Source organism: Homo sapiens, chromosome 3, assembly GCF_000001405.40.
Source record: "Homo sapiens chromosome 3, GRCh38.p14 Primary Assembly".
Lineage (NCBI taxonomy): Eukaryota > Metazoa > Chordata > Mammalia > Primates > Hominidae > Homo > Homo sapiens.
The window spans coordinates 149203725-149230599 of record NC_000003.12 but is presented as its reverse complement, the minus strand read 5'-3'; the positions used below and the strand labels follow the sequence as shown (position 1 = coordinate 149230599).

At 37.1% G+C, this 26875-nt stretch overlaps 1 protein-coding gene and 1 long non-coding RNA gene across 10 annotated transcripts in view, besides 1 other annotated feature; one reads left to right on the top strand and one right to left on the bottom strand.

The window, feature by feature from the left end:
• Positions 4271 to 6730, bottom strand: LOC101927942 (uncharacterized). The gene is made up of 4 exons (XR_241588.4): positions 6284 to 6730; positions 5550 to 5603; positions 5224 to 5251; positions 4271 to 4592 (listed from the first exon to the last, which is right to left on the bottom strand). It is a non-coding gene; the product is annotated as an uncharacterized LOC101927942 (long non-coding RNA).
• Positions 5308 to 5377: an enhancer, noted in NCBI's record as "active region_20680". NCBI's record gives its function as "activates an Ori minimal core promoter by ATAC-STARR-seq in GM12878 lymphoblastoid cells {active_cell/tissue: GM12878}" and the evidence as "EXISTENCE:reporter gene assay evidence [ECO:0000049][PMID:35858748]".
• The window catches only part of CP (ceruloplasmin), a 59416-nt gene continuing 41311 nt past the window's right edge, over positions 8771 to 26875 (top strand). For all 9 annotated transcript variants that reach the window (NR_046371.2, XR_427361.4, XM_006713499.4 and 6 more), the window contains exons 1-6: positions 8771 to 8953; positions 17902 to 18149; positions 20221 to 20433; positions 21216 to 21389; positions 22983 to 23237; positions 24261 to 24432. Coding sequence is in view for 7 of the 9 variants with exons in the window: in XM_006713499.4 (XP_006713562.1) it covers positions 8808 to 8953; positions 17902 to 18149; positions 20221 to 20433; positions 21216 to 21389; positions 22983 to 23237; positions 24261 to 24432 (1208 nt within the window). In the remaining 2 variants the exon portion in view is untranslated. The remainder of the gene's footprint in view (positions 8954 to 17901; positions 18150 to 20220; positions 20434 to 21215; positions 21390 to 22982; positions 23238 to 24260; positions 24433 to 26875) is intronic.

Sequence of the window (26875 nt, the reverse complement as noted above, 5' to 3'; positions counted from 1 at the left end):
AGATACTCTAGTTTTATTTTCTTTGTAAAACTCAGATAACTTTTCATGATCTGATAAAATATACTCTAGAGTTAAATGTAATTTCCAGATTCACATAAGATATACATATAAGGTATAAACAGACAATTCATAGAAGATCAAAAACAAATATCTTTTGAACCTATAAAAATATCCAAACTTGCCAATAATCAAATCACTTCAAAATCACATTTAAGCAACAATAAAATACCTTTTTGAGTATATGTTGGCAAATATTTATCTATTTTTAATGATAGCATCAATAGCAGTGTGGTGAGATAGGGTGCATTGCATATACTTTGGTGGATGTGTTAATTGGTTCTGCAGATCTTGCAGGAATCTAAATCATGATCCCCATATTTTGACTCAGTATTTCCACCTGGCATTTGATCTCAGAAAATTATCAACAAGGCAGAAAAATATGTATCACCACATTATTTTATGCTAATGGAAAACTGAAAACAAGCAAATGATATACTGTAATGTGTGTAAAAAACTGCAACATATCATCTAAAATATCCAACTTCAAAAATCATGTCTTAAAATTTTTAATGAGTAAATGCTTATAATATCATATTGGGTGGCAAAAAATGCAGTCTACAAAATAGTATCTGAAATATGTATATGAAGACTGAATAGAAATTTTATGAGATGTTACTGATGACTCTCTCTACGTAGTGAAATTATTCGTGAGATTTATTAAGAAAATAATAAGAAGATATTTATTAAGAAATAATAAATCTCACTAGTAATCTGTTTCTTCCAAGGTTTCTGTAAAGTTTAAATTACTTTCAAAATTAGGAAAACTATTGAACATATATATTGTACACTATTTAAAACATACCATGCAGCTCTCAAGTTATGTGAATATTTTCTCTGTGGGGCTTCTTGCAGGGCTGATGGAGCAGAACCTCTGAAGCAGACAAAGGAGAGTCAGCATGAACAGTTTCTCAGAATCTTCTCTCAATATCAGGACTACATTTGTCAACAAAACCAAAAACTGATTAGCCACCGATATAATTTTTACCTACAACATCCTATTAATGTCAATAATATCATTATTGATACAATTCTAATAATCACTACCCTTATTCCTATCAGTGTTCATGTACATTCTTAGTAAAAGAGACTTTGGTGCGCTGTCCATGAAATAAATCCCCCATTGCTAACATTCTTTCTTTGGAAAAGTAGATTTTGCATTTCAAAGAATATAAAGTCAAATTGGATTGGATTTACAGGTCATCTGTTCCCACAGAAGGGTGATATTGATGTTGCTATTGATAAGTAAACTTTTTGTGGCAAAAGTGATGGTAGTTATTTTAAGGATGTTCCCAAGACTAATATAAATTTTGTATTTATTCCTTAAATGTATGTAATCATTTTAGCTTAGTATTTTAACTTAGAACTGCATGCTATTATATAATATTACCTATTTTTGAAACTTCCTTTTCTACAGCATAAATATTTGATATGATATGAATATTGACAAGCTTACAAGCCAAGGTAAAGCTGCCAAAGAAGGAAAACTCCAGGGACCAAGGAGTCTGGGAGGAACCAGCTAAAGACTTTCATGACAATGTACCAGGAAAACTAGTTTGAAATAAAAGTTTTCTTAGTAAATTTTGTGTGAGAGCTGCTTCTTATTTTCATAAATTGACCCTGAAGTGGTGTCTGTATTGTGCCTGTGAGTGATGTAATAAGGCTTTTAACAAATGCAGTGGGGGTAGGTAGGAGAGACAAAGACAGCAACAGCAAAGTCTTGCTCAGTTATAAAAAGTACCAAATGTATGCAACCCAAGACTTTACCATAGACTGCAACATTTGTAAAACTTTAAGAAATGAAATTCTTATAGCATGGGTAACCATTTAAATCAATCTTTGAAATGTAAATCTATATATTATATTGTGCCTTAGGATTGGAAGATGATAGATTACAGAATATATAATTTTCAGTTTTCCAGAACAAAAAAAAAAGGGGGGGGACTCAAGCTCTGAGCTTGTATCTGGCAGTACTAACCAGTTAGGATGTGTTCTATAAGCAACAGAAAACCCAGCTAAGAGAGAATTATCAGTGCTATTTGTCTTATATCATAAACAAAGTTTGGAGATAAGTGGCTGCTAGGATTGGTTTAGCAACATTTTAAGACAGAATCTCACTCTGTTGCCCAGGCTGGAGTGCATTGGCACGATCTTGCCTCACTGTAACCTCCACCTCCCTGGTTCAAGCAATTCTCCTGCCTTAGCCTCCCCAGTAGCTGGGACTACAGGCCTGCACCACCACATCTGGCTGATTTTTGTATTTTTAGTAGAGACAGGGTTTCACCTTGTTGGCCAGGCTGGTCTTGAACTCCTGGCCTCAAGTGATCCACCCACCTCGGCCTCCCAAAGTGCTGGGGTTACAGGCATGAGCCACTGTACCCAGCCTGGCTTAGCAATTTGATGACATGAGGGCCAGTGTCTTTAACCCTCTTGGCCTTTTCCCCATAATTGTTGCCTCACGGTTGCAAAATGGTTGCTGCAGCTCCACATGTTACATCCACATTGAAGGCAGAGAAGATGGAAAAAGGGGGAGTATCAGTCACATCTGAAGAGACAACAGCCAATTTCTGCCTTTTTCTTATTGGTCAAAACCATTATTATCTGGCTACTCCTAACTGCAAAGGAGACTGGAAAAGAACTTTTGTAGCCTCTATCATGAAAGGAACAAGGGAGACTGGGTTAGAAATGTCTTGTGGGTTGGCTAACAGCCTTTGCTTTAGACAGTAAGTAAGAATACTTGAAATCAGAGCTTGGTTAAACAACAGAGTTCATGTTTTTACTTTCTAGCTTCTTAGCTGTGTGGGCGGTACATGAAAACCTGGAGTGTAATCAAGCAAATTCCTGACATTATATCATTTCACTCCAAAATACTCCGATATGTATCTCCGGCATAAAAAACCTTTAAAAAAGTAATATAGTGGCCAGGTGTAACTCCAGCACTTTGGGAGGCTGAGGCAGGAGGATCACGAGGTCAAGAGATGGAGATCATCCTGGCCAACATGGTGAAACCTCGTCTCTACTAAAAATAAAAAATTTAGCCAGGCGTGGTAGCGCATGCCTGTAGTCCCAGCTACTCAGGAGGCTGAGGCTGGAGAATCACTTGAACCCAGGAGGCAGAGGCTGCAGTGAACTGAGATCATGCCACTGCACTCCAGCCTGGCGACAGAGCAAGACTCTGTCTCAAAAAATAATAATAATACTAATATAGTAATAATGCTATTATAACATCAGACAACATTAGCAATAATACCTCATTATTTGATATTAAAACTATGAAGAACTTATGAAATATGGGTGCAGCTAACTCCTTCCATAGAAACATTCAAGTCTGAGACTTTCAAAGATGCTGATAAAACTAGAACATTTTTTAAGAAACAGCAAAAGATATTGCCCAAATTTCACCAAGAATAATGTTTAATTCATTCATTCATTCATTTAAGAACACAGTTCCAAACTTTGACTTATCAGGTGGGCAAAGTATGATTTAGCAAATGGATTTGAATGGAAGGGTAGTAATCTGTATGAATTCTTAACAGAAGAGAGTCAAAGACTAAGAATGTGTCAATGGAATGTCCCCTGCACAGCTGTTGGAAGGTCCTCTTATTCTAATAATGAGTACCCAGTATTTAGACAGAAATCATGTTAATTTTTAAAATGTCAAAGAAAAAAGAAAAGAAACATGCTTTAACAGTATCTTCCCTTTTGCATACGAGATCATGTCCTCTGCAGGGACATGGATGGAACTGGAAGCCATTATCCTCAGCAAACTAATGCAGGAGTAGAAAAACAAGCACCGCATGCTCTCACTTATAAGTGGGAGCTGAACAAGAAAACACATGGGCACAGGGAGGGGAACAACACATACTGGGGCCTGTCGGGGGGTGGGGTGATGGGGAGGGAGAGCATTGGGAAAGATAGCTAATGCATGCTAGGCTTAATACCTAGATGATGGGTTGATAGGTGCGGCAAACCACCATGGCACACGTTTACCTATGTAACAAACCTGCACATCCTGCACATGTACCCTAGAACTTAAAGTACAAATTAAAATTAATTTACAGAAAAGAATATCTACCCTTTCGCTCAAACTCTATACTTATGAATGAAACTGTGTTCCATAATACAATTTTCTGAGTGAATCTATAAAGAAGGAGCGAATGCCCCTAAATTGAAAAAAAAACCAATAATATAAATTATGCCTATTATACTTTAATTTTACGTGAATTATTTAACTTTATTAATGAATATTGATTTATTCTCCAAGTTATTTACAATCAGTCAGCCCCTTTAAACCCAGTCACCTTTAAGTAAATTGACAAAATGAAGGTTTGGAATCTACCAAGGGACAACCCCAACCCAGGCAAACTCCTTCCAGAGTGCAGAGAGACTGGCAAGCCCGGCCTGGAGCTACTCCAGTGCTTTCCCACATGGCCCTCTATAGCGTGCTGTGTCTTCTGCTTCCAGGGGCGCCATCATGAGTAGCAGTAAACTTTTCTCTCATTGGCATTGGCCTCTCAGAATTGTCACGCAGTCACCTTTTGTAAATTAAGACCAGGACACAAATCAGAGTGTTGAGAGCTATGCAGTGTATATAACCCTCACATGGTGTCAAAACAGGAGAAAATGGGCCAGGGGTGTTATGAGAGAAGAGCGTTTCAAGAAAGTCATGCATTAAATTTCTATGTAGTCAAAGTAGTGAATTAAGTTATTCCTTTAAAAAGGGTTGTTCTTTAATCTTCTTAAAAATTATAATTATATTATTGTGGTTCTATTTCATTTTTGATAAATCACATGCTTTGATTTCTATAACAGTCAAGGTAGTGAGAGAACAAGCATGAAGGATTCAGCTAAATACTTATGCCATTTTTTTTAAAGTCTCTTTCCCATAGTACTACTGTATGTTAAGGCTTTCTGTATGTTAGAGTCTGGGCTTTCTCTCTTCCCTTGCCTGAGACCATTTTACATCCCAGGAGCTGATGAATAGGGCCGTGACCCATTAATGGGCAGCCAAAGGGGGATGGTGGCATGACTGAAGAACTATCTGAGAGATCATTTCCTAAACAGTTATGACCTGACTGATAGGGGAGAATAGGATCAGCAATGCTCACACTGTGCTAGGGCAAGTCGGTGTACTCATTAGCAAAGTCTGTACGTGACCACACTCACCTCTAAAATTCCAGAGTTACACAATTTCCTGTGAAAAAGAAAGCAGCGTGGTTATCTGTCCGATTGGTCATAGTCAGAGTGACCTGCTATTTTGTACTTAGAGTCTCCTGCTGTCACAAAGTGAAGGACAGTTCTCGATGATTTCCTAATAATTCTGTTGGCATGGAGTAGGGGTTAAGAGCCAGTTCTCAAGGGTCAGCAAAAAATGAAACTAGAAGGTATATACAGGAATAGCGGCAGTAAAGAGAGATTGCATCCTGCCAGACAGAAATAAACAGAAGGGTTGTTCTGTAAAGGAGGCTGCTTCCTTGACGTTAGCCACTCACAGTCTCAGAATCATGATTGCCAAATGCAGATAAGATTCACCCAGTCCAGAAATCCTTAAGACGACAAAAAAAGAAAATGTGGAAAATGATTAAAACTTCTGCTACATAACTGTACTCAGGTTACTAAGCTGTTAACTTAGACATATACTAGTTGTTTATAACCAAGATATACCCTGGGATTCTGAGGTAAAAACCTTTTGACAAGCACAGCTAAGAGGACAGGCTGTTTGGCAGTCTAGATTCCTCTCTTTCTTGCAATGCTCTAAGTTTCCTAGGCTTCTTCTGGTGCCCCTCTGCTCCTTCTTGTCTAACCCCAGTCTGTGCTGTTGTGGTACATTTCTTGAGTACAGAAAACTCTCAATTGGAACATTATCCAAAGTTCATTTTTAAGTACTATCTCTGGAATCACTGTAATGAAGTTTGCAGTGCAAAATGACTCTGCCAATGGCTGAGCTTATTAGCTCCCAGTGCCTTCTCCCTCCTGTTTATTTTTACTGTTTATTTATTTATTATTTATTTATTTTTTATTTTTTGAGACAGAGTCTTCTTCTGTCGCCCAGGCTAGAGTGCAATGGCGCGATCTCGGCTCACCGCAAGTTCCACCTTCCGGGTTCACGCCATTCTCCTGCCTCAGCCTCCCGAGTAGCTGGGACTACAGGTGCCCGCCACCACGCCTGGCTAATTTTTTTTTTTTTTTTTTTTTTTTTGTATTTTTAGTAGAGTCGGGGTCTCACCGTGTTAGCCAGGATGGTCTCCATCTCCTGACCTCGTGATCCACCTGCCTCGGCCTCCCAAAGTGCTGGGATTACAGGCGTGAGCCACTCCGCCCGGCCCCTCTCCCTCCTATTTAAATAGTCCTAAGGCTCAGAGAATTCTCCCCACTTCCTGCCACATGCCTTTTGATGAGAAGAGTAACTACCACAAAACAGAACAGAAATACGGACTGCATGACCTTTTTTGCATTACACCATAAAACGTTCACAAGGGCACTGGTCACAGTGTTACTGTTTAACCATTTCATTTCACCACCAATATGAGGGGTGTGCTATGCATACATTCTGGAACCCTCAGCAACTATTTGAACAGGTTTGTTTGTTGGATGGTTGGTTGGTACAATTTGCTGAAACAAGTGACTCTGGGCATGGTTACGGTGCTCTGATCAACATCTTTCCATGCACAAGATTGGGGCTGAGTTTGAGCACTGAGTGAAAAATGAAAAGCAAATGGCTGAGACAGTTGCTGGTTCACATCGTGGCTTCATGCCAATTAGAAAAAGAACTGTCCCCCTTCTCCATGCCCTGGGGAGGATAAACGGCTGAAAAATGCCCCCCGTCTGTGTGGACCATTAGGGGAAAAGCAGCTTCTTGCAAGGCACAGGGTATGGCCGGTGGCATCTGAGCAAGATTTTAGTCCTTCGTCAGTCCTCTCAGTGGACATGACGGCACAATTGTTCAAGGCAGTCCTAGAAGGAGGCCTTGGGGCATCCTGGGCAACATGATTCAGTTTTCTGTACCAAGCCATTTAGTTAAGATTATTACCAGCTGGTGAGAGAAGCTCCTCCACTGTCTGCCTTAACATAGGTCATTTCAATTAACCTGAGATTTTCAGATGAGGAAACTGAAGCTGGGCTGAAGTATCTTACTTGAGGTCATTTGGTAGCATCAGATTTTTCCCTAGCACTCCTTATTCTCCTTCTCTGCTTTATTTTTCTCCATAGCATTCACCACTAATATTGTGTATTTCATTTTTCATTTTTATATTTTCAGTTTCCCCAAGTAGAATGTAAGTTGCATGATGGTAGGTGTTTTGTTCTCTGCGGTATTCCCAGTGAGTAGAACAGAACTTGGCACAGACTGCTGTATTCCCAGTGAGTAGAACAGAACTTGGCTCATTCAATAATATTTCCTAAATGAAGGAATTGTTCAAATATCGCATGCTTTCTTCTATACCAATCTATTTCAACAAGTGGCCTTCAGCAAATACACAACGTTTTGAGGTATTTGAGAGAAAAAAAATTATACTAACACAAAGTGTCAACTGTTATCAGGATTTTCTTCAGCTAAAAAAAAAAGCCATTTCATACTTTTAGACATATACTTCCTGACTAAAAACAGGGTTTTAAGAAAAAGTCTTCCACCTTAAAATTCATATCCACTTCAAAGAGAAAAATTTCAGTCTAATGATAAACTGGGGTACTTTCTATTTACTAAGACTAATCTTTGCCTCTGAAGACAGGTTTAGTTATGGTTTGTTTATTTGATGATTAAAACAAAGTTATTAGCCCCTGTTAGGCTCTGCTAGTTATTTGCATATAGCAATACAGAATGATCTGGTAAAGTTTTTATGCAGATTTGGTCCAAGCTCATAAAACAGATAAATTCTTCCAAATTAAATTCTTATTTTTGTTTACTTAAATTTGGCATGCTAGATATCATGTTTCATATCATAAAGCTGCAATTAATCATTTGTTAGACTTTTAGAAATAGTCATGCACCACATAATAATGTTTGAGTAAATGACAAACTGCATATGTGATGGTGGTCCCATAAGATTATAATAACATATTTTTACTGTACATTTTCTATGTTTGCATATGTATAGATACAGAAATATCATTGTGTTACAATTGTCTATAGCATTCAGCATAGTTATAGACTGTACAGGTTTGTAGCCTAGGAGCAATAGGTATACCATATAGCCTACCTAGATGTATAGTAGGCTATATCATATAAGTCTGTGTAAGTACACTCTGTGATAGTCACACAATGACAAAATAGCCTAACAATGCATTTCTCAGAACGTATCCCTGTCATTAAGAATGACTGTAGTAAAAAGCTACATGTTTTGATTCATTTTACATAATTCTTATCCTGATTTACTAAAAGTGCACTGTTTGCAGGACACTGTGCTGTGACATATTGTCAGAGGAACAAAGGGAGCATTTAGACACGTTCTCTGCCCTCCTGGAATTTACACAATGAATGGAAAAAGGCACAGAGTTATGCACACCCTAATGCCTCCAACAATAACTGTTGACTTTTTATTTTCAGTCAGAGAAGCCTGGCAACCAAGAACTGTTTTTTTGGTGGTTTACGAGAACTTAACTGAATTGGAAAATATTTGCTTTAATGAAACAATTTACTCTTGTGCAACACTAAATTGTGTCAATCAAGCAAATAAGGAAGAAAGTCTTATTTATAAAATTGCCTGCTCCTGATTTTACTTCATTTCTTCTCAGGCTCCAAGAAGGGGAAAAAAATGAAGATTTTGATACTTGGTATTTTTCTGTTTTTATGTAGTACCCCAGCCTGGGCGAAAGAAAAGCATTATTACATTGGAATTATTGAAACGACTTGGGATTATGCCTCTGACCATGGGGAAAAGAAACTTATTTCTGTTGACACGTAAGTCACTATTTTTATTGTTTATAGACCAAAATTTTAAGTTATTTTTAAAGGATAGAGCCAATAAGATGAAATATTTTTAAAATTTCTTATATACAGAAACTGCAAAATGTGGGCTTGAAACCCAAGACACTTGAATCAATCTCCTTTATATTCCTGTATATTTTTTATTTGGTGGACTACCCTGCTTCTTTCCTGTTGTTCCTGGGGATCTGTGTTCACATCTTACTACCTCCCATGGTCGTAACTGCATCTCCGATTAGGAATCTGTCTTTTTATGTGTTTATGCAGAAGTTCTTTCATTTAAACAATTACTGTATACAATGTTATGTTTATTGCACCATTTAATGGTTATTCATGATAGGCATAAAATTTTTTTATATCTTTCAAAACATCACTTATAGAAATAAAATACAATTTTAGCAAATAAGATCCTGCCTGATATTTATTGAGAGACTCCAGACAGTTAAGTAGGTTAATCTTTCACAGCTTCAGGGTCCTAATTTGTAAAATGAGGATAATAAGCATAGCTCATAGGGTTATTTAAAGAGCGGGTGCATGTAAAGCTCTTAGTACAATGCTTGGCACATATGTGCATAAAAAAATGTCAGGTACTTATTAGGATGGTCCTCAAAAAGCTCCATGTAACTTAAATGTCTTCATTTTTCAGTTGGAAAATCCCCTTATTGAAAGCAATATTCACTACACAGTAAAACAAAAAGTTTAGTTCTCCTTGAAGTTTTTTGTACAGAAGTTTATCTATACTGAGGTCTTCACTTTTAATGATGTTAATTAAACATTAACCACCAAATGGGAACTTGGAATTCAAAATCAATATTCACTACATTAAAATGTATTTCAGTGGTAATAAAACACAAACAAGCCCAATGACCATCAGCTGCCAAGATTATATCTTTAAAAAACAGCTAAATAAGGATGCCGAAGTTTGTAATTATTGAATCTTATTGATGAGTATATACTATTTTCTTTAACATTATGTAAAGTTGAAATTTTTCACCATAAAAATAAATACATAACAGATACTAATATCCAATTATTATATTATGAATTTAATAATATACAATAAAGAAAGTTTCTGACCTGAAGATAAGTGGTTGTAAATAAAACTAATACATCTTGTAATTATTTCTTTTTTAACCTGGTTTTAAGGTGGTATTATCTTCTAAGGAATATGACATATTTTTACAGCTTCACCAGAAACATTATTTTGCATGGATTCAGTATTTTCTTGATTAAATATAATATAAATTATATGTGGTTTTTATTTCCAAGGAAAAAGTCAGACACATTAAAAAAATAAAAATACTATCCTTCTCTATGCCCCCACTCACCACCACTCTGCCATTGTTCGTGATCAAAAATCAAATCAGCTTTATCAGGCATAAACTAAGTGCAAGACATTGCCCTGAATATGCTTCAAAAAAAAATCTTTAATTCTAAAAATCAGGGAGTAGAAGAGTGAAGGAGTTTGTTTAGAATTTGGTGAATGGGGGCGGAGGAAATTCCTTTGTTTTTAATTACTCCTGTGGCCTGTCTGTGCCAGGGAAGCTACCCAATGAGTATAAGCCTGTTTACCCCATTGTGACTATATTAGTCTCTTCTTATGCTGCTAATAGAGACATACTCAAGACTGAGTAATTTATAAAGAAAAAGAGGTTTAATGGACTCACAGTTCCACATGACTGGGGAGGCCTCACAATCATGGTGGAAGGCAAAGGAGGAGCAAAGGCATGTCTTACATTGCAAACTTTCCCATACCTTCCTGTCATCTGAGCCCTCCAAGTCTCTAGGAAGTTCCAAACTTTCCCACATCTTGCTATCTTCTTCTGAGCCCTCCAAACTATTCCAGCCTCTGCCTGCTACCCAATTCCAAAGTCACTTTCACATTTTTGGGTACCTTTACAGTAGTGCCCCACTCCAGGTACCAATTTACTGTATTAGTCTGTTCTTACACTGCTAATAAAGACATACTCAAGACTGGGTAATTTATAAAGAAAAAGAGGTTTAATGAACTTACAGTTCCACATGGCTGGGAAGGCCTCACAATCATGGCAGAAGGCAAAGGAGGAGCAAAGGCACGTCTTACATGGCAGCAGCCAAGAAAGAGCTTGTGCAGGGGAACTCTCATTTATAAAACCATCAGATCTCATGAGACTTATTCACTACCATGAGAACAATATGGGGGAAACCACATCCATGATTCAGTTACCTCCACCTGGCCCCCTCCCTTGACATGTGGGGATTATTACAATTCAAGGTGAGATTTGGGTGGGGACACAGCCAAACCATATCAGTTACTTAAAAAGTATACTTAATAGAGATACTTAAGGCTCCTTAAAAGGAAAAATGGAGCATCTTCTAGTTGCAAAGTCCACCTCTCTTTTTGTTATTGTCCTGTGACTTTAACATCTCCTCTGGCTTCAACAATATGCTACAGTTTTGCAAACTCTAGGTGGGACTGCTTTCTCTGTGATTTTTTTCCCCCATATATCTTACCAGTGAATTTTGAATACAGCTTCAGCAATTTTGCCAATACTATGCTAAACTTTTTGCATAGATGTGTGCAGATAGCAACCTTTTGGTCCCTTCTTTGTCCCAGATTTGCAGCATGTTTAGCCCAGTCAGTGAAGGATGATGGAGTATCACAAGACATGGTTGGCACTTCTTATCGTATGATGACTAAAAAGGAGTGGAAATAAATGGGCTGAAGAATAAGATGTGAAAGAGTGTAATATGAATTTTAGGTAAAGAATCGAGTTTAAGCTGAATGTTGATCTTGAAGGTCTGGGATGATGAACAGGAAAATATGCATTGAGAGTACTAGTATATGCATATGCAAGTACTAGTGCTTGGTCACTAGTACCTAGAATATAGGAGACACTAAATAAATATTTCTGAATAAGTTTAAATGAGTAAATAAAAGATACATAGGAAGATAGGAAAAATCATAGACTGTATTGTAAAAACTTTTCCTTGCTCCTCATGTGGAGAGATTCATGCTATAGAACAAATCAGGTAACAGAATAAGATAGAAAAGTCACCTGAGGGGATTATATGCAGGGTTAGTGCAACTGAAAACACTGGCAGATATTAAAAGAGAAAAATGTATAGGTTTTGGGGGGGACTAAAAAAATAAAGTTTACTTCTCTGGTATTAATGCCAATAATATTTATTTCTAAAAGAGTGAAGTGGAAAATAATTTCCTTATACTCAGTACTGCTATTTACTTGGGTCAGTGCCTTATCTGTCACTTCAACACATCAGTAAGTAGTTAAAGACTTTATAAGAGATAATTCCTGATCCTAAGTTATATATATTCAAATTAAAATAAATGACATACATATAAAAACAATTAGTAAACACAATAGTGTGTTCTGGGTCCATAGTAGGCATTAGTTAATTATTTACTGAATTAATTGACTATATAATAGCAAAAATTATAGTAATTCTCTTATCTTCAGATTACTTTTTTTTCTGATGACCTCTAGGAAGCTGGAAATAAGTGAAAATTTTTTTAAGTATACGAACGGCCATCACAAAACTCTTTTATACTTGACTTCATAGGCTCTCACTCAGGCTTGGCAACTTTCTTAACATACAGTTCTTACAAACATTATTACCGGGTTTTTCATTCCATTAGAGGTTTCCAAAACAAATGGTACAGTGAAGATGTCACTATAAGCAGGCCTAATGACCAAGAAGAAATAACAGCTCAAATCCTGACCAAAAAACTAGACAACAAAGAACATTCCACCTTACGGTAATCATAATTACTATAATTATGATCTTGAGTGATCAGGATATAATAAGTATTCAATAAGTGTTCATTTCACTATTGTTATCAAAAAAGTTACTTTTTTTCCATTATATCCGCTGTTTAGGAAAACAGGGAAGCAAATAAAATATTTTTAAAGAAAAAGCTTGCACTAATGACATTCATTTTACCCCTATTAAAAGATAAACTTGGGCATATTGAAAGTTTAACAAGTTTATTCAAGCATTCAGCCACAGCAATTGGGTGCCCTAAGACCACAAGCAGTTCTGTCAATGCTCCTCTGGGCAGGGAGGAAACTTTTATAACGTATTCTCAGACTAAGAAATAGATATTAGACTGGTTAAAGTGGAGACTCCCTAGTTAGATGTTAGTTGGCGGCTTCTGATTGGTAAAGTCTCTAGTTACAGATTCGAAGTTTCATTTTACTGTTTACTACATTGAATTGGGTTTTGGTTTGCTTACGTAGGAACCCAAGGCGCTGATGTTGTCTCAGCCTAGTGGCCTCCCAAGTTATATAGCATCCCTTCAAAAATGATTTTTAAATTTTTAAATGATTCTTAAATAGGTACAATTACTAGCTAAAATTTTCTGGAAAATTTACTTTAAATGACTCATTCTCCAAGGTTGCCAAATAAAAAATAGCAAGCAATAGGGCTGGGCGTGGTGGCTCACACCTGTAATCCCAGCACTTTGGGAGGCCAAGGCAGGTGGATCACAAGGTCAGGAGTTTGAGACCAGCCTGGCCAACATGGTGAAATCCCGTCTCTACTAAAAATACAAAAATTAGCTAGGTGTGGTGGCGTGCGCCTGTAGTCCCAGCTACTCAGGAGGCCAAGGCAGGAGAGTTGCTTGAACCCAGGAGGTGGAGGTTGCAGTGAGCCGAGATCACGCCGTTACATTATAGCCTGGGCGACAGAGCAAGATTCCATCTCAAAAAAAAAAAAAAAAAAGCAAGCAATAGCTAGTGCAGTACACTTCCAAACACTTCACACAAGACAGCTTGTATGGAAGAGCTAATTAAGTGACTAACATTTCACACTGACCAAATTCCATTTATTATCAAGTTCCTATTTCTCCTGAGAACACAGACAAAAGAAAATTCACTAGGTACTGCATTCATGCTGCGCCAGTGGAGGAAGGCTGGTTAGAACCGGCAAATCACTTGAATTTGTGTTATATATACCTAGGTTGAGTCTCTGCCATATTCTTGCAGCAGTTAATTTTTGACTGTTTTCCTTATGATTCTTGTTTATGGTAGGCAGCATTTCCAAAGTGGCTCCCAGAAGAAATCCTATCCTAAATCTCCAGAACCTGTGAACAGGATGAGACATCACTCTCATGATTTATGTTTTAGTCAGTGAGATTATCTGAAGAGTCCACACACTGAAGCTGACTTGAAGATGAAAGGGGCCACCTAGGAGGGCATACGGGTGACCTTAAGAAACTGGGAGAGGCTCTCGGCCCATAGCCAGCAAGCAAACAAGGATTTTAATTCTATGACCCCACTGAACTGAATTCTGGCAATAACCCAAATGAGCTAGGCAGATTTCTCCACAGAGCCTCAGATAAGTACTCAGCTCAGCAGCCCCTTGATTTCAGCTTGGTGATGCCTGAGGCAGTGAACCCAGCCACACCATGCCAGACTCTGACCCATAGAATAGTGAGATTATAAATGGGTGTTGTTTTAACCTACTTTGTGATAATTTGTTATGCAGCAATAAAAAATATATGTCTCAATTAATGAAGTCAAAAATCCAGAAACTTTTCACCTATAATACCCAAGTTTTGGGAACCACGTCTAAGCATAAACCAAGATCACTTGAGTGAATTCTAAATTTATGGGAGGGAATAGCATTATTAATATCTTACCAAAGCAATACTAAAAAATAGTTATGCTACTATTAAAAACTCATTTCTGGGTCTAAGACTACCAGAAATTATAGGAGCGGGCTTTTCTTTTTTTAAATAAGGGGCTAAAAAGAGAGAATGTGATTGATTACTTGAAGGGAGATATGTCTACAGTAATGAGTAGAAAGGAACATACTACAGTTGTCAACAGGAAGAACTACAATTAAATGTGAATTATTTGGTTGAAAGAACAGCTATAATAGATTCTTGTGGCTGAATATCTAACTGGCAAACTTCCTGCAAGCTTCCAGTAACTGGCCCTTTGTCCTCAAGCTGTGCTGTCGAAATTAAATAGAGAGCCCCTAATGACCTTTTAATGTTTATTTGGAGACAAAGCATAAACAAATAGACTTCTCCCAAAGTGTCACACAGTGTAAAATATTTTCCAGTTTGGTTAAGACAGTTTTTTTCACAATAAAAGGCAAGATGCAAAAAGCAGTTTGCATATTGCAATGTGTATAAAAGGAATTTCAGATGTTAAAACGCCTAGATATGTTATACCTTCAGATCAATAATTTTAAAAGCAATTTTAACCCCCCCAAAAAACTTTGCCTAGAAAAATTAGTTACAAAGCCTAGGCAATATAGGTCTTGGTCTTGGTCTTAGGTATTTGTTTATGGCAATGCTCTTCCTATTTTAGGAAATGATTAATACAGGAGCATTTCAATGCAATAAAATCATTTTGACAAAGCCTGCTATAGTTTATCAAAATAGGACATGATGTATGCCAAAGTGTATTTACATTCAGAAAATATAAAGAAACATTTTATTTAAATGAAGCCTTAAGAATTTGAGGGCTAACTTTTAACTTTGGCCTATGTAAGATGTGTACCAATAGGACATGGTAAAGCATGGAGTAAAGTCTCCAAATATTATCAAATCAATCTCTCAGAAATAAAAGTGTGTTCAGACTCTTAAGAAAATTTACCCTGGGGCTTAGACAAGTCTCTGTGAGATTGATTGGTCCAGGGTTCCGGTGGGACCAGAGTGGAATTGTACCTTTGTACTGTAGACTTTGCAGCTGCAGTTGTGTACCTAACTGAAATTGCACTCTTATTGACCTCCTCTCAGTCATATGGACTGAATGACTCTCTGCTTTTAAACTTAGTAGTCTTTGATGCAACAATTTTGCTGTTGTTAAGACATATATTTATTAAGACTCTTTCTGTGCATTCCTTGCTATGGGTTTAGGGACAGAGTTCACCCCAGTGTCTTGCCCTTTTCCCATGCCTACCTGTGTCCATGAAGTCTCTCCCAATCTTTTCCTATTTTGCTTTAACAAATTGGGAAATGGCAACAAACAATTAGAAAGTGAAAACAAATAGAAAAAATGAGGGTATACTCACAGTTTTGCTGCTCCACACAGGCTGCAAATAATGACACTTTATTTTTCTAACTTCTAGCTTAGCCCTCCCACCAGGACAGGGGATGGACAGGGAAACATCATCTCAGTCATTTTTTTAGTGAATAATTTTATCTTCTTTGGGAATTCGGGTTTATACAATTCAGGAAAATTGGTATTCCCAGTGTATTGGTATATGGTAGTGACTAGGAGGAAACGCTCATCATAGAAATTCCTTGATCAATCCAGAGAATGGTGACTCTTATTTTCAACACCTGCTCACTCTGCCCAAACTCAGCCACCAGGACCATTGCCAAGTGGCCATGGTACCTGGCCCCAGCACTCAGGCTTAATCTATATAGCCTCCACCGCAGAGGTCCTGCCACTTCCAGGTATGACCTGGAAACCGAGTTTTCTACCTTTCTGTCTCATGGTATCAGGAATCCCACTGCTTCTGGGATTGGGCAGCTCTCTTAATCTTCAACCTTAGAGCCTCTTCAACACAGGTTACCCAGGGCCCCAGAGCAGACTATCTCATCAAAACACACCAGTGTGTTGGTTAATAATGCAGATACCTGGGCCCTGCCCCAGACCCACAGAATCAGAATCAATGGAGTTGTGTCCCAGGAGTTTGCATTTCACTAAGTTCATCAGTAGATTCCTGTGCATATTCAGACTTAAGAAACATCAGGCCTTAGACTTTTGAAAAACCACATCTTTAAATTCTGTAGCAGTGAAAGTCCAGAGCTCTCACACAAGCTCTGCTCTTGTCTTAAAGAAGGGAAAGAAAAATATATCTCACTTTTACCAGTGAGCTTACAACTGAGGAAACAAGACAAAACTTATTCCTCAGTCAGATTACTCGGCCCCACAAATGTTGAGTAGAAATTGGTAAAGTATCAAAGATCAATAAGATGAAAGAAGGCAACACACACACACACACACACACACACACACACACACACACACCCATGATGATGAGCAGTTTTTATTCAAATGGAAGAGCCTTGGTTGTGGAGGGGCTTGCCAAAGGCCAGAATCTAAGTGGGTCCTGCCAAATGGCAACATGATGTTGCCCATGAATAGATCCCACTGGGCTATATAAGCCTTCAGTTAAGGTTGATAACACAAGAAATTAATTCAAACCAAATTTACTTTCTTTCCATCTTTTCTTTTCCAGATTGCTATTTACCTCACTGATATTTTAAAGAAAGTTTTAAGCAACTATTAATGGACATTCACTAGAATACAAACATTCAATGTTAAGTATCTGTACTAGTGAGGGATTAAAAAACACAGGGATTATTTAAATTCAAAAGTAATTTAAAAACCACACACATTGCATGCATCAACAACTCTAGCTTTGATTTAGTGCTGTTAAAAGAAATATAAAAGAATTAATTTAGCTTTATTAATCTTACTTTAAGGAAAAAAATATATAAATATACACACACATACTTTGAAGTCTCAAATATCCAGATTGATTAATTATAAACTCAAATTTTTCCAGTAGCTAAGAGAGGTAGAAGTGAAAAAATGTCTTAATTAACTGCTTTATTTTAATATTTCAACTTAATTTTGTATTCTATTCCATTACATAATATGCCTGTGTCTTAATATAAAAATCATGGAGAAAATACTTCAGTAAGATGCACTACATTTCTATGATGCCTTCGCAGATGGTTCTCTGACATATACCTGATATGGAAAGCCTCACATCATTAAAATAACAGGGCTAACTACCAGCCCTCCACTTCAATTTTGGAGGCATCCCTACAACAGGCAAACATTCAATGTGATGTGCTCATTAATTTCTCTAATTATAATGTTATTAAATTATAATGATAATGTCATCCCTAGAAATGATGGCTTCTGATAGAGTTGTCTTGTTTTTCTTTGCAGGGAACATTCCAATATCTATCTTCAAAATGGCCCAGATAGAATTGGGAGACTATATAAGAAGGCCCTTTATCTTCAGTACACAGATGAAACCTTTAGGACAACTATAGAAAAACCGGTCTGGCTTGGGTTTTTAGGCCCTATTATCAAAGCTGAAACTGGAGATAAAGTTTATGTACACTTAAAAAACCTTGCCTCTAGGCCCTACACCTTTCATTCACATGGAATAACTTACTATAAGGAACATGAGGGTAAGTTCAGCTCATGTAGCTGGAATTTCCTCTTACTTTTCAGTAGAAGTGCCTTTTAGCTTCTAAAATTGTGGACTTCTCTCCTGGATAAGACATATAACTGCCATTCAGCTCTTAACTATTTTTTTTTTATTTTTTTTTAATTTTTTTTGACTTCTGTCACCCAGGCTGGAGTGCAGTGGCACGACCTCGGATCACTGCAAGCACCGCATCCGGGGTTCAAGCCATTCTCCTGCCTCAGCCTCCCGAGTAGCTGGGACTACAGGCGCCCACTACCATGCCTGGCAAACTTTTTTATTTTTATTTTTTTTTTGCATTTTTAGTAGAGACGGGGTTTCACCGTGTTAGCCAGGATGGTCTTGATCTCCTGACCTCCTGATCTGCCCGCCTCAGCCTCCCAAAGTGCTGGGATTACAGGCGTGAGTCACTGCACCCGGCCAACTATTTTATTAATAGGTACTTTGTTTCCATATAATAATGGCATGTTTCTCTTGGTTGTGCTCTTTCGTGGAAAGTGTGAATGTGAGAGAATTTCTAGGTGGACTCAGTGAGAGTCAGAGAGAGCTGGAGCTTCTTTCCCAGAGCCCAGTCCTTTCTGGCCAAATAGAATAAGAGAAATGGACAAAGTGCATCAGAGCCTAGAAGAGGCAAAATCCAGAGGGAAGAGAAAGAAGGACTCAAGATGTGGATTGCCTTATCTTTGAAGTTCCTACATGTAAACATACTGTGCTGTTGTTACCTCCCATCCTAACTTTATATAAACTCTGCCCCAGCTAAGGTGGCATAAGTAGTCTCATGTCAGTCAAATGGTACATATGCCTGGATGACTGTAGTCACATATGAGACACAATTAACTGAAAAAGTCATTTGAATGTAGGACTTGGAAGCCTTGAAAATAGTACCTGAAAAACAAAGATAAGGTTTGGTGCCTGTGATCTCATTCTTAGTCCTTAACAATGATGGTAAAAAAGGTGGTATTTTGTAGTGATGAAAAGCAAGGGCTTTGAAATTAATAGACAAAGGTCTGAGCCCCAGCCTTGCCTTTCACTGTTTGAGTGACCTTGGACAAATTACTTAAGTTCTTTCAGCTTCAGTTTCCTCATCTATAAAATAGAGATAATAAGAATACATAGTAATACCTCAATAACTATCAGCTGCTATCATAAGCAAAAATGCTGAAGTCATGCTACAGTTCATTGAAATTATAATGATCGAATAGGGAAATTAATTTAAAATTAGATTTGATTCATTATTAGTTGTCTTATTAAAAGAGATATTGGTTTAGAAAGTGAATGTGTTGACTTTTTTTGTTTTTGTTGTTGTTTAGGGATAAATTACATTCATAGCATAAAAGGCTGACTGCCATCCTATTTCTTTTTAATGATTTCATGGCTTACTAGGGAATTACCATTCATTTTAAAGGTATGGTAATGGAACTGTGGTTTTGTTAGAAGAAAAAAAGGGTTCCTATCTTTTAGAGATACATACTCAAGTATTTATGAATGGAATATGATGTCTGAGACGTGCTTTAAAATAATTTGATGATACTGGGGATAAGAGTGTGTGGGGGTACAGATGAAACAAGGTTGGCCTTGAGTCGATCATTGTTAAAGCTGGTTTGATGGGTACACAGAGGTTCAGCATTTTCTTCTCTCAACCTTTGTGTGTGTTTGGAAATTTCCAAAATTGAGAGTAGAAATGTTTTTAATTTTATGGTTACTTCGTGGGCAAAAATCTGAGATCATATAAGAAGTTTTGAATTTAGAAGAGGGTAGCCTTTTTGCTCAGACTCCCATACCATGACCCGAGTTCTTTACATTGCAAACAAAAAGTCATTATGCTCTCTGAAAACCCAATCAAATATAAAAAAATAATAAAAATGTCTGTGAAGCTTCTACACACCCTAGCCATTAGCCTTTCATTTTCCTGTGTCCAAATAGGATAACACATCCCCAAGGATCACATAGTAGATGTTTAATAAATGTTTGCTGAATGAATTAATGGACTATCTATTCTCTCATTTAAGTTCAAACACATTCACTTTGCACCTTCATTGCATGTTGCTTCCTAGGGGCCATCTACCCTGATAACACCACAGATTTTCAAAGAGCAGATGACAAAGTATATCCAGGAGAGCAGTATACATACATGTTGCTTGCCACTGAAGAACAAAGTCCTGGGGAAGGAGATGGCAATTGTGTGACTAGGATTTACCATTCCCACATTGATGCTCCAAAAGATATTGCCTCAGGACTCATCGGACCTTTAATAATCTGTAAAAAAGGTACATCTTCTCCTTATTGCACATGCTATATGACCAAAAGACAGGGGCAGGGCAGTTTGTCTTTTAAAAAGAAATCAAGTCTTCTGTGCTGAGATTGAGCAGGTAAGGTAGAGAGGTGGTAAGTAGAAAAAAAGGAAGGGAAGAGCCAGGCAGGACTAGGAGAAGAAGGGATAAATAGAACAAGCATTCCTACGGGGAAAATGCCAATGAAGGTAATGTGAAAGAAATATATTCTCTCAGGGTTCAGTTTGCTGTATCTAACTTCCAACAGTGGTGCTGAAGAGACATATGACTTTACCAAATGTGACTACCAAAAGGGCACTCCACGGTGATAGATCTGTAGTTACTCATACTATATTGGTAAACATAATATCATAGTATTTATTTCTAACATCATGAAAAAGACAACGGAGCTCAAGAGCCTGAAATACAATTCTAACTTGAACAATCGTTACCTGTAAAGACTTGTCTCTGTTTGTGGCTATATGCACCAGAAAATAGACGCACAACTTTGAATTCCAATCTTCCCATTTGCCAAAAAGCATTTAATAGTTATGTGGTCAGTGGACATCCAGACACAGGAGTGTCTTCCAAGCACCAGATACTGATCATAAAAATTCCCTGAGTGTTTCTGTCTGTAAAACAGGAGTGACTGGTCCAGACTTGTGATTTATTCGAAAAAATAAATACTAACATTTTTAAAAACTATAAATCACCTGAAAACATAAATCAAAATACATGCTAAAAGTTTAGTCTTGCTAAAATAGTAACTTTAACTCCAGATTCTCTAGATAAAGAAAAAGAAAAACATATTGACCGAGAATTTGTGGTGATGTTTTCTGTGGTGGATGAAAATTTCAGCTGGTACCTAGAAGACAACATTAAAACCTACTGCTCAGAACCAGAGAAAGTTGACAAAGACAACGAAGACTTCCAGGAGAGTAACAGAATGTATTGTAAGATTACAGCAGACATGTTAACTTTACTTTTTTTTCCCTTGATCCATTAATTCTGCTAAGCTTATTCCCTCACATAAATAAGTACTGTGTGTCTAGTCTGTGGTCCTTATAACAAAGCATATTGGATGTGCAATTTGATATTCAGCTAAGTAAGTCAGAATAAAAACTCTAAGCCAGGTAAAGCCAGATACACCAAACTTGTTCCCCAACTGGTAAGGATAAAGCATCAATTATGGTTTAATGCATATGTATGTGACATTAATATATTTATTTATCCACTAGACTCATTCTAAAAATTATTTGAGGCAGCTCCAAATTATTAAACTAAATGCTTAAAACCATATTATATTTTAAAGCATCTAACTATATTTAAGAAAATAGTTCAAACCACGAGTTCTGAAAGGTATTCGTTTTACATACTATGTTGCCCTCACTGGGCCCCTTAGTCTGCATCATTCGTTTCTACATTTCAGTTCACTTTACTTTTCTAGAAATGCTTTTTTTACAGTTTAGACTTTTTCTTAATTCTCAGACACAAAATAATGAGCTTAGTAAGATTATCTATTTCTCATAATTTGCATGAGAAACAGAGTCCCTTAACAACAACTAGACCAATAAGTAGATATTTTCGTTTATTTGTTTGTGTTTAACTTCTTCAAAATAACCTGTACTCAGAAACCGAGAGCACAAAAATAACGATACTACCAAAGTAGAAAAATAAACTAGTTAACAAAGTACAGATTTTGTTTCCAACTTTTACTTATATCTGGGTGGAAGGTCCTCTTTCCATACTTTAATCCTGTCTCTGTTGTGTACTAACAAAAATAGTTGTTATAAAAAGATACTCAAAATTCTAGCCTGAGCAGGTTTGATTTGGTACCAGTGTTACATGTGGTGCACTCAGGATTCTTCCCAGAACTAATTTCCACTTGGGAAATTTTTAGGGCCACCCAGTTTGAACAGTGACCATAAGTTTCTTCTGAGGGTTTCAGGCCACCTTGCCTATGAACTTTTAGGTCTTTGTGGCTCTGTCCCTGCTGCCCTTCTACATTTTTTCCCTCCTTCATATCTCTTCCAATCTTAAAAATTTTGTCTTGCAATCTTTAAAAAAAAGCTATTCTTATGTACTTTTTACAAAATAAATTTATGGTAGAAAATTGGAAATTTTCTGACAAGCAAAAACATCCATACTACCAACATGATGAATAACTGATTGAATACTAATATTCAATCTTTTTTCTATTAATTCTATGTGTGTTTTGTTTATATGTATGTATATATGCACACCTCTGTATTTACACACACACACAATGTGTACAGTTTATAACAAAGACAGCAAATAGGTTTTATCTTCAGTATTGTGTTCATCTGTTAATATGGTATTGATAAGAATCCTCAGGCTGAATTCAGTTCCAAAATGAAAGAGTGCTGTGATTGATTAGCAATGTCTGACATGAGTATAGGGGGCAAGAATACCAGCATGTGTGCCAGATATTTGCCATTCCAAATTGATTCTATTTATATAGAGGTAACTCTCACTATCTCAAGCATTAATGACTCTTAGTCACAAACTCTGCTCTTGACTTACAGCTGTGAATGGATACACTTTTGGAAGTCTCCCAGGACTCTCCATGTGTGCTGAAGACAGAGTAAAATGGTACCTTTTTGGTATGGGTAATGAAGTTGATGTGCACGCAGCTTTCTTTCACGGGCAAGCACTGACTAACAAGAACTACCGTATTGACACAATCAACCTCTTTCCTGCTACCCTGTTTGATGCTTATATGGTGGCCCAGAACCCTGGAGAATGGATGCTCAGCTGTCAGAATCTAAACCATCTGAAAGGTAGGACATCTTTACCTGAAATTAGCAGTCAGCTGAAAAAGGTGGTTACTGGGAATCAGAATCTAAAAGCTAAATATCTTTGAAATAATCTGAGCTTTGAACTGGCATCTTAGTTTTATCCCTATGATGGTATATATAATAATGTAATAAAAAAAGACTGTAAGACAGGAATATTATAAAGTAATGAAATTTGAAAATATATTAGTTTTTGGAAAGAACAACTGGCCCTGAAAGTATAGTACTATATATACTTACTCAGCTTTGTAAAATATACCAGTGTTGTAACATCCAGAAAAATTGTATGTTGCACTGGAAAGCACCCTGTTTTTCGACTTATTTCTGTCAAGTATAATTAACTTTGTTCTTTATTTGAGCCTGGCCATCCCTTAGTTTAACTCGATAAATCCTTCCTTTATCTCTTTAACTTAGGCAATAAAAACATTCCTTGTTCTTGAAAAATATTAGTTTTTAATATTGGTCTACTGAATAAATTAAGTTTAACATAGGAGTTCAGATATTTTACTTTGACGTGCAAATATAATTGCTTTTATCAAATATGCTCTGGGCCACAGAAGGCCCAGCACAGCAGATGCACAACCATCTTGTACAAGACAGCAATAATATAAGCTCATTTGGTACCTCCTCCTTGTACCTCCTCCTCCACCCAATGCAACCCCTTAAAATATGTCAAAGCCTCTCTTCTCTGCTTATCTACAGATTTGTTCTTTTTCTCTCATTGAAAGAACTACCAAGTGAAACCCCACAGAAACTGGTACCATATTTTGAAAACATATATGCTTAATATCTCTATGCTGTATGTACATAAAAAACAAAGTATATCTGTTTTAAACTTGAGTTTTCCATCATTAATTTATTTACAGCTGTCTGCCCTAGTTTATAGTACTGTTGCTATCTGTCTATTCCTTCAATTTCTACTTGTCATCACCCGAGCAGTGTTTACAGGGCAATAGGAGAGAGAAACATTGTCTTCATTAATCAATGCCTCTTTCTGTTTCATTTCAGCCGGTTTGCAAGCCTTTTTCCAGGTCCAGGAGTGTAACAAGTCTTCATCAAAGGATAATATCCGTGGGAAGCATGTTAGACACTACTACATTGCCGCTGAGGAAATCATCTGGAACTATGCTCCCTCTGGTATAGACATCTTCACTAAAGAAAACTTAACAGCACCTGGAAGGTAATTTACAAAAAAAGAGTACTATTTCAAAATATGCTCTCCCCCGCACAAAGGAACTACAAAAGGCTAATTCAGCAATTAAAATTTTAATTGGTATCTGAAATTGAGTAACTAGACTGCTAAATATTTATTAAGGTATTTGATGTAAGAGTCTGAGCTTGAGAACTATGAGTTTTGAGTCCATGAAAAAAGATGGGTTCAAAAGTTATCAAATGCTTGACAAAGTCCTAAGAAAACACTGAATACTATTAGATAAATCAATTAATTTGCTTCCCATTTCAGAAAACGTGGCACTGTACGATTCAGCAGCATTAAGTACAGTTACACTATTGCATAGCCGTCACCACTATCCATTTCCAGAACTTTTTTTTTATCATCCCAAATGAAAACTCTGAACCCTTTAAACAATAACAACCTTCTTCCACTCTTTCTCCACCCCCTGATAAGCTCGATTCTACTTTCTGTCTCTATGAGTTTTCCTATTCTAGGCAACTCATACAAGTGGAATCATACAATATTGGTTCTTTTGTGTCTTTTATATCACTTAGCATAATGTTTTAAGATTTGTTCATGTTGTAGCATGCATCAGAATTTCATTCCTCTTTAAGGCTGAATAATGCTTCATTGTATGTATATACCATATTTTGTTTATTCATTCATCTGTTGATAAACATTTGGGTCATTTCCACCTTTTGGCTATTGTGACTAATGTTGCTATGAACAATTGTTATACAAATATCACTGTTCAAATCTCTGCTTTTAATTATTTTGCATATCCAGCTAGAAGCGATTCCGCTTCTAGCTGGATATGCAAAATAATTAATAGAAATGGTAATTCTATTTTTAATTTTTTGAGGAACCACATTACTGTTCTCCATAGCAACTGCACCATTTTACAGGCTCATCAGCAATGTACAGGGGTTTCAATTTCTTCACATTCTCATCAACACTTGTTATTTTCTGTTTTGTTTTTTTTTTTAATAATAACCATCCTAATGAGCATAAGTGATATTTCATAGTGGTTGTGATTTGCATTTTCTTAATGACTAGTAATGTTGAGGATCTTTTCATGTACTTTTTGGTCATTTGTGTATCTTCTTCAGATAAATGTCTATTTAAGTCCTTCAGCCATTTTTGAAGTGGGATTTGTGTTGTTGTTGTTGTTGACCTGTAGGAGTTCTTTATATATTCAGGATATTAATTCCTTATCAGTTATTTGCAAATATTTTCTGGCATTCTATAGGTTGTCTTTCACTTTCTTGATAGTGTCCTTTGATGTACACAAGCTACTCTTTGTACATGTCTGAATGACTTCCACAGCCTCCCAGTCATTCTTTCTGTTTGTCTTCCTTTTCTACTATCGATTTTTTACAAAGCAGTACTGTGATCTTTCAAAAATGTCAATGAGATGATGCCACTCCCCTGCTCCAAGTCTTTACTCATATATCACTTCCTCAGAGAAGCCCTGTTTGCCATCCATATTAAAAATACCCTCCTTGGAAAGGTTAAGTAATTCATCCAACATCACACAATAAATGGATAGCTAGGACTTGCTCAGCCCAGACCTGTGACTCCTGAAGCAGAGATTTAAGTCCCATGCTACACTGACACCTACATGTGATTACTCCCAACGCTGCGTCTCCAACTCAGGAGGATCTAGTGAATTTCAGATTGCATTTCAAACTTCTTAGTGACACCCCCACATGGATGAGGCTATTCAAACTCCTCTCCTCATCAAGTACTGCCTTGTTTTATAGAAACTATCTCTGAAGGCTGTCTACTTCTCTCCATCTTCTTTGCCAATACCTATGAACTCATCTCTGCCTCTCACTGAGATTAGAAAAGCAGGCTCCTGACTGGTCTCCCTACTGCAGTCTTGTATTTTCCAACACATTCTCCAAACATCTGCCAGAGGGATCCTCCTAAAATGCTAATCCTGAATGCTTAAATCTTTCAAATGCTTCTCACTGCCCTGGGATGGAAGGCTGAAACCTTAACTAGGTCCTACTGCTTATCTCCCATCTATCTAAGCCTCATTCTTCACTCCTCTGCCCTGTCTTGCATGCTATGCTTCTGCCATATTTTCTAGAACATGGCATGCTCGCTCTTTTCTCTAAGCCTGCTCATAAGCAGTTTCCTCTTTGTATACACCTGCCCTAGTCTCTGCGCTACACACACACTTCATCTTGCTAACTCTACTTCCCCTTTAGGTAGTTTTGAGTAATCACTTCCTCTGGAATGTCTTTGTGGCCTCTTCACTGCACTTTCCCCAACCTCAAAGAAATGCTCCATAATACCCTGTGCTTATTACACTGTATTATATTGATGGGTTCATGGCCTGTCTTCTCTGCCAGATGTAAGGTCCACGTGGACAAGGAAGAGTCCACCTTGCTTATGGTTAAGTCATCAACACATAGCAGGATTCCCAGCAAAGAGCAGGTGT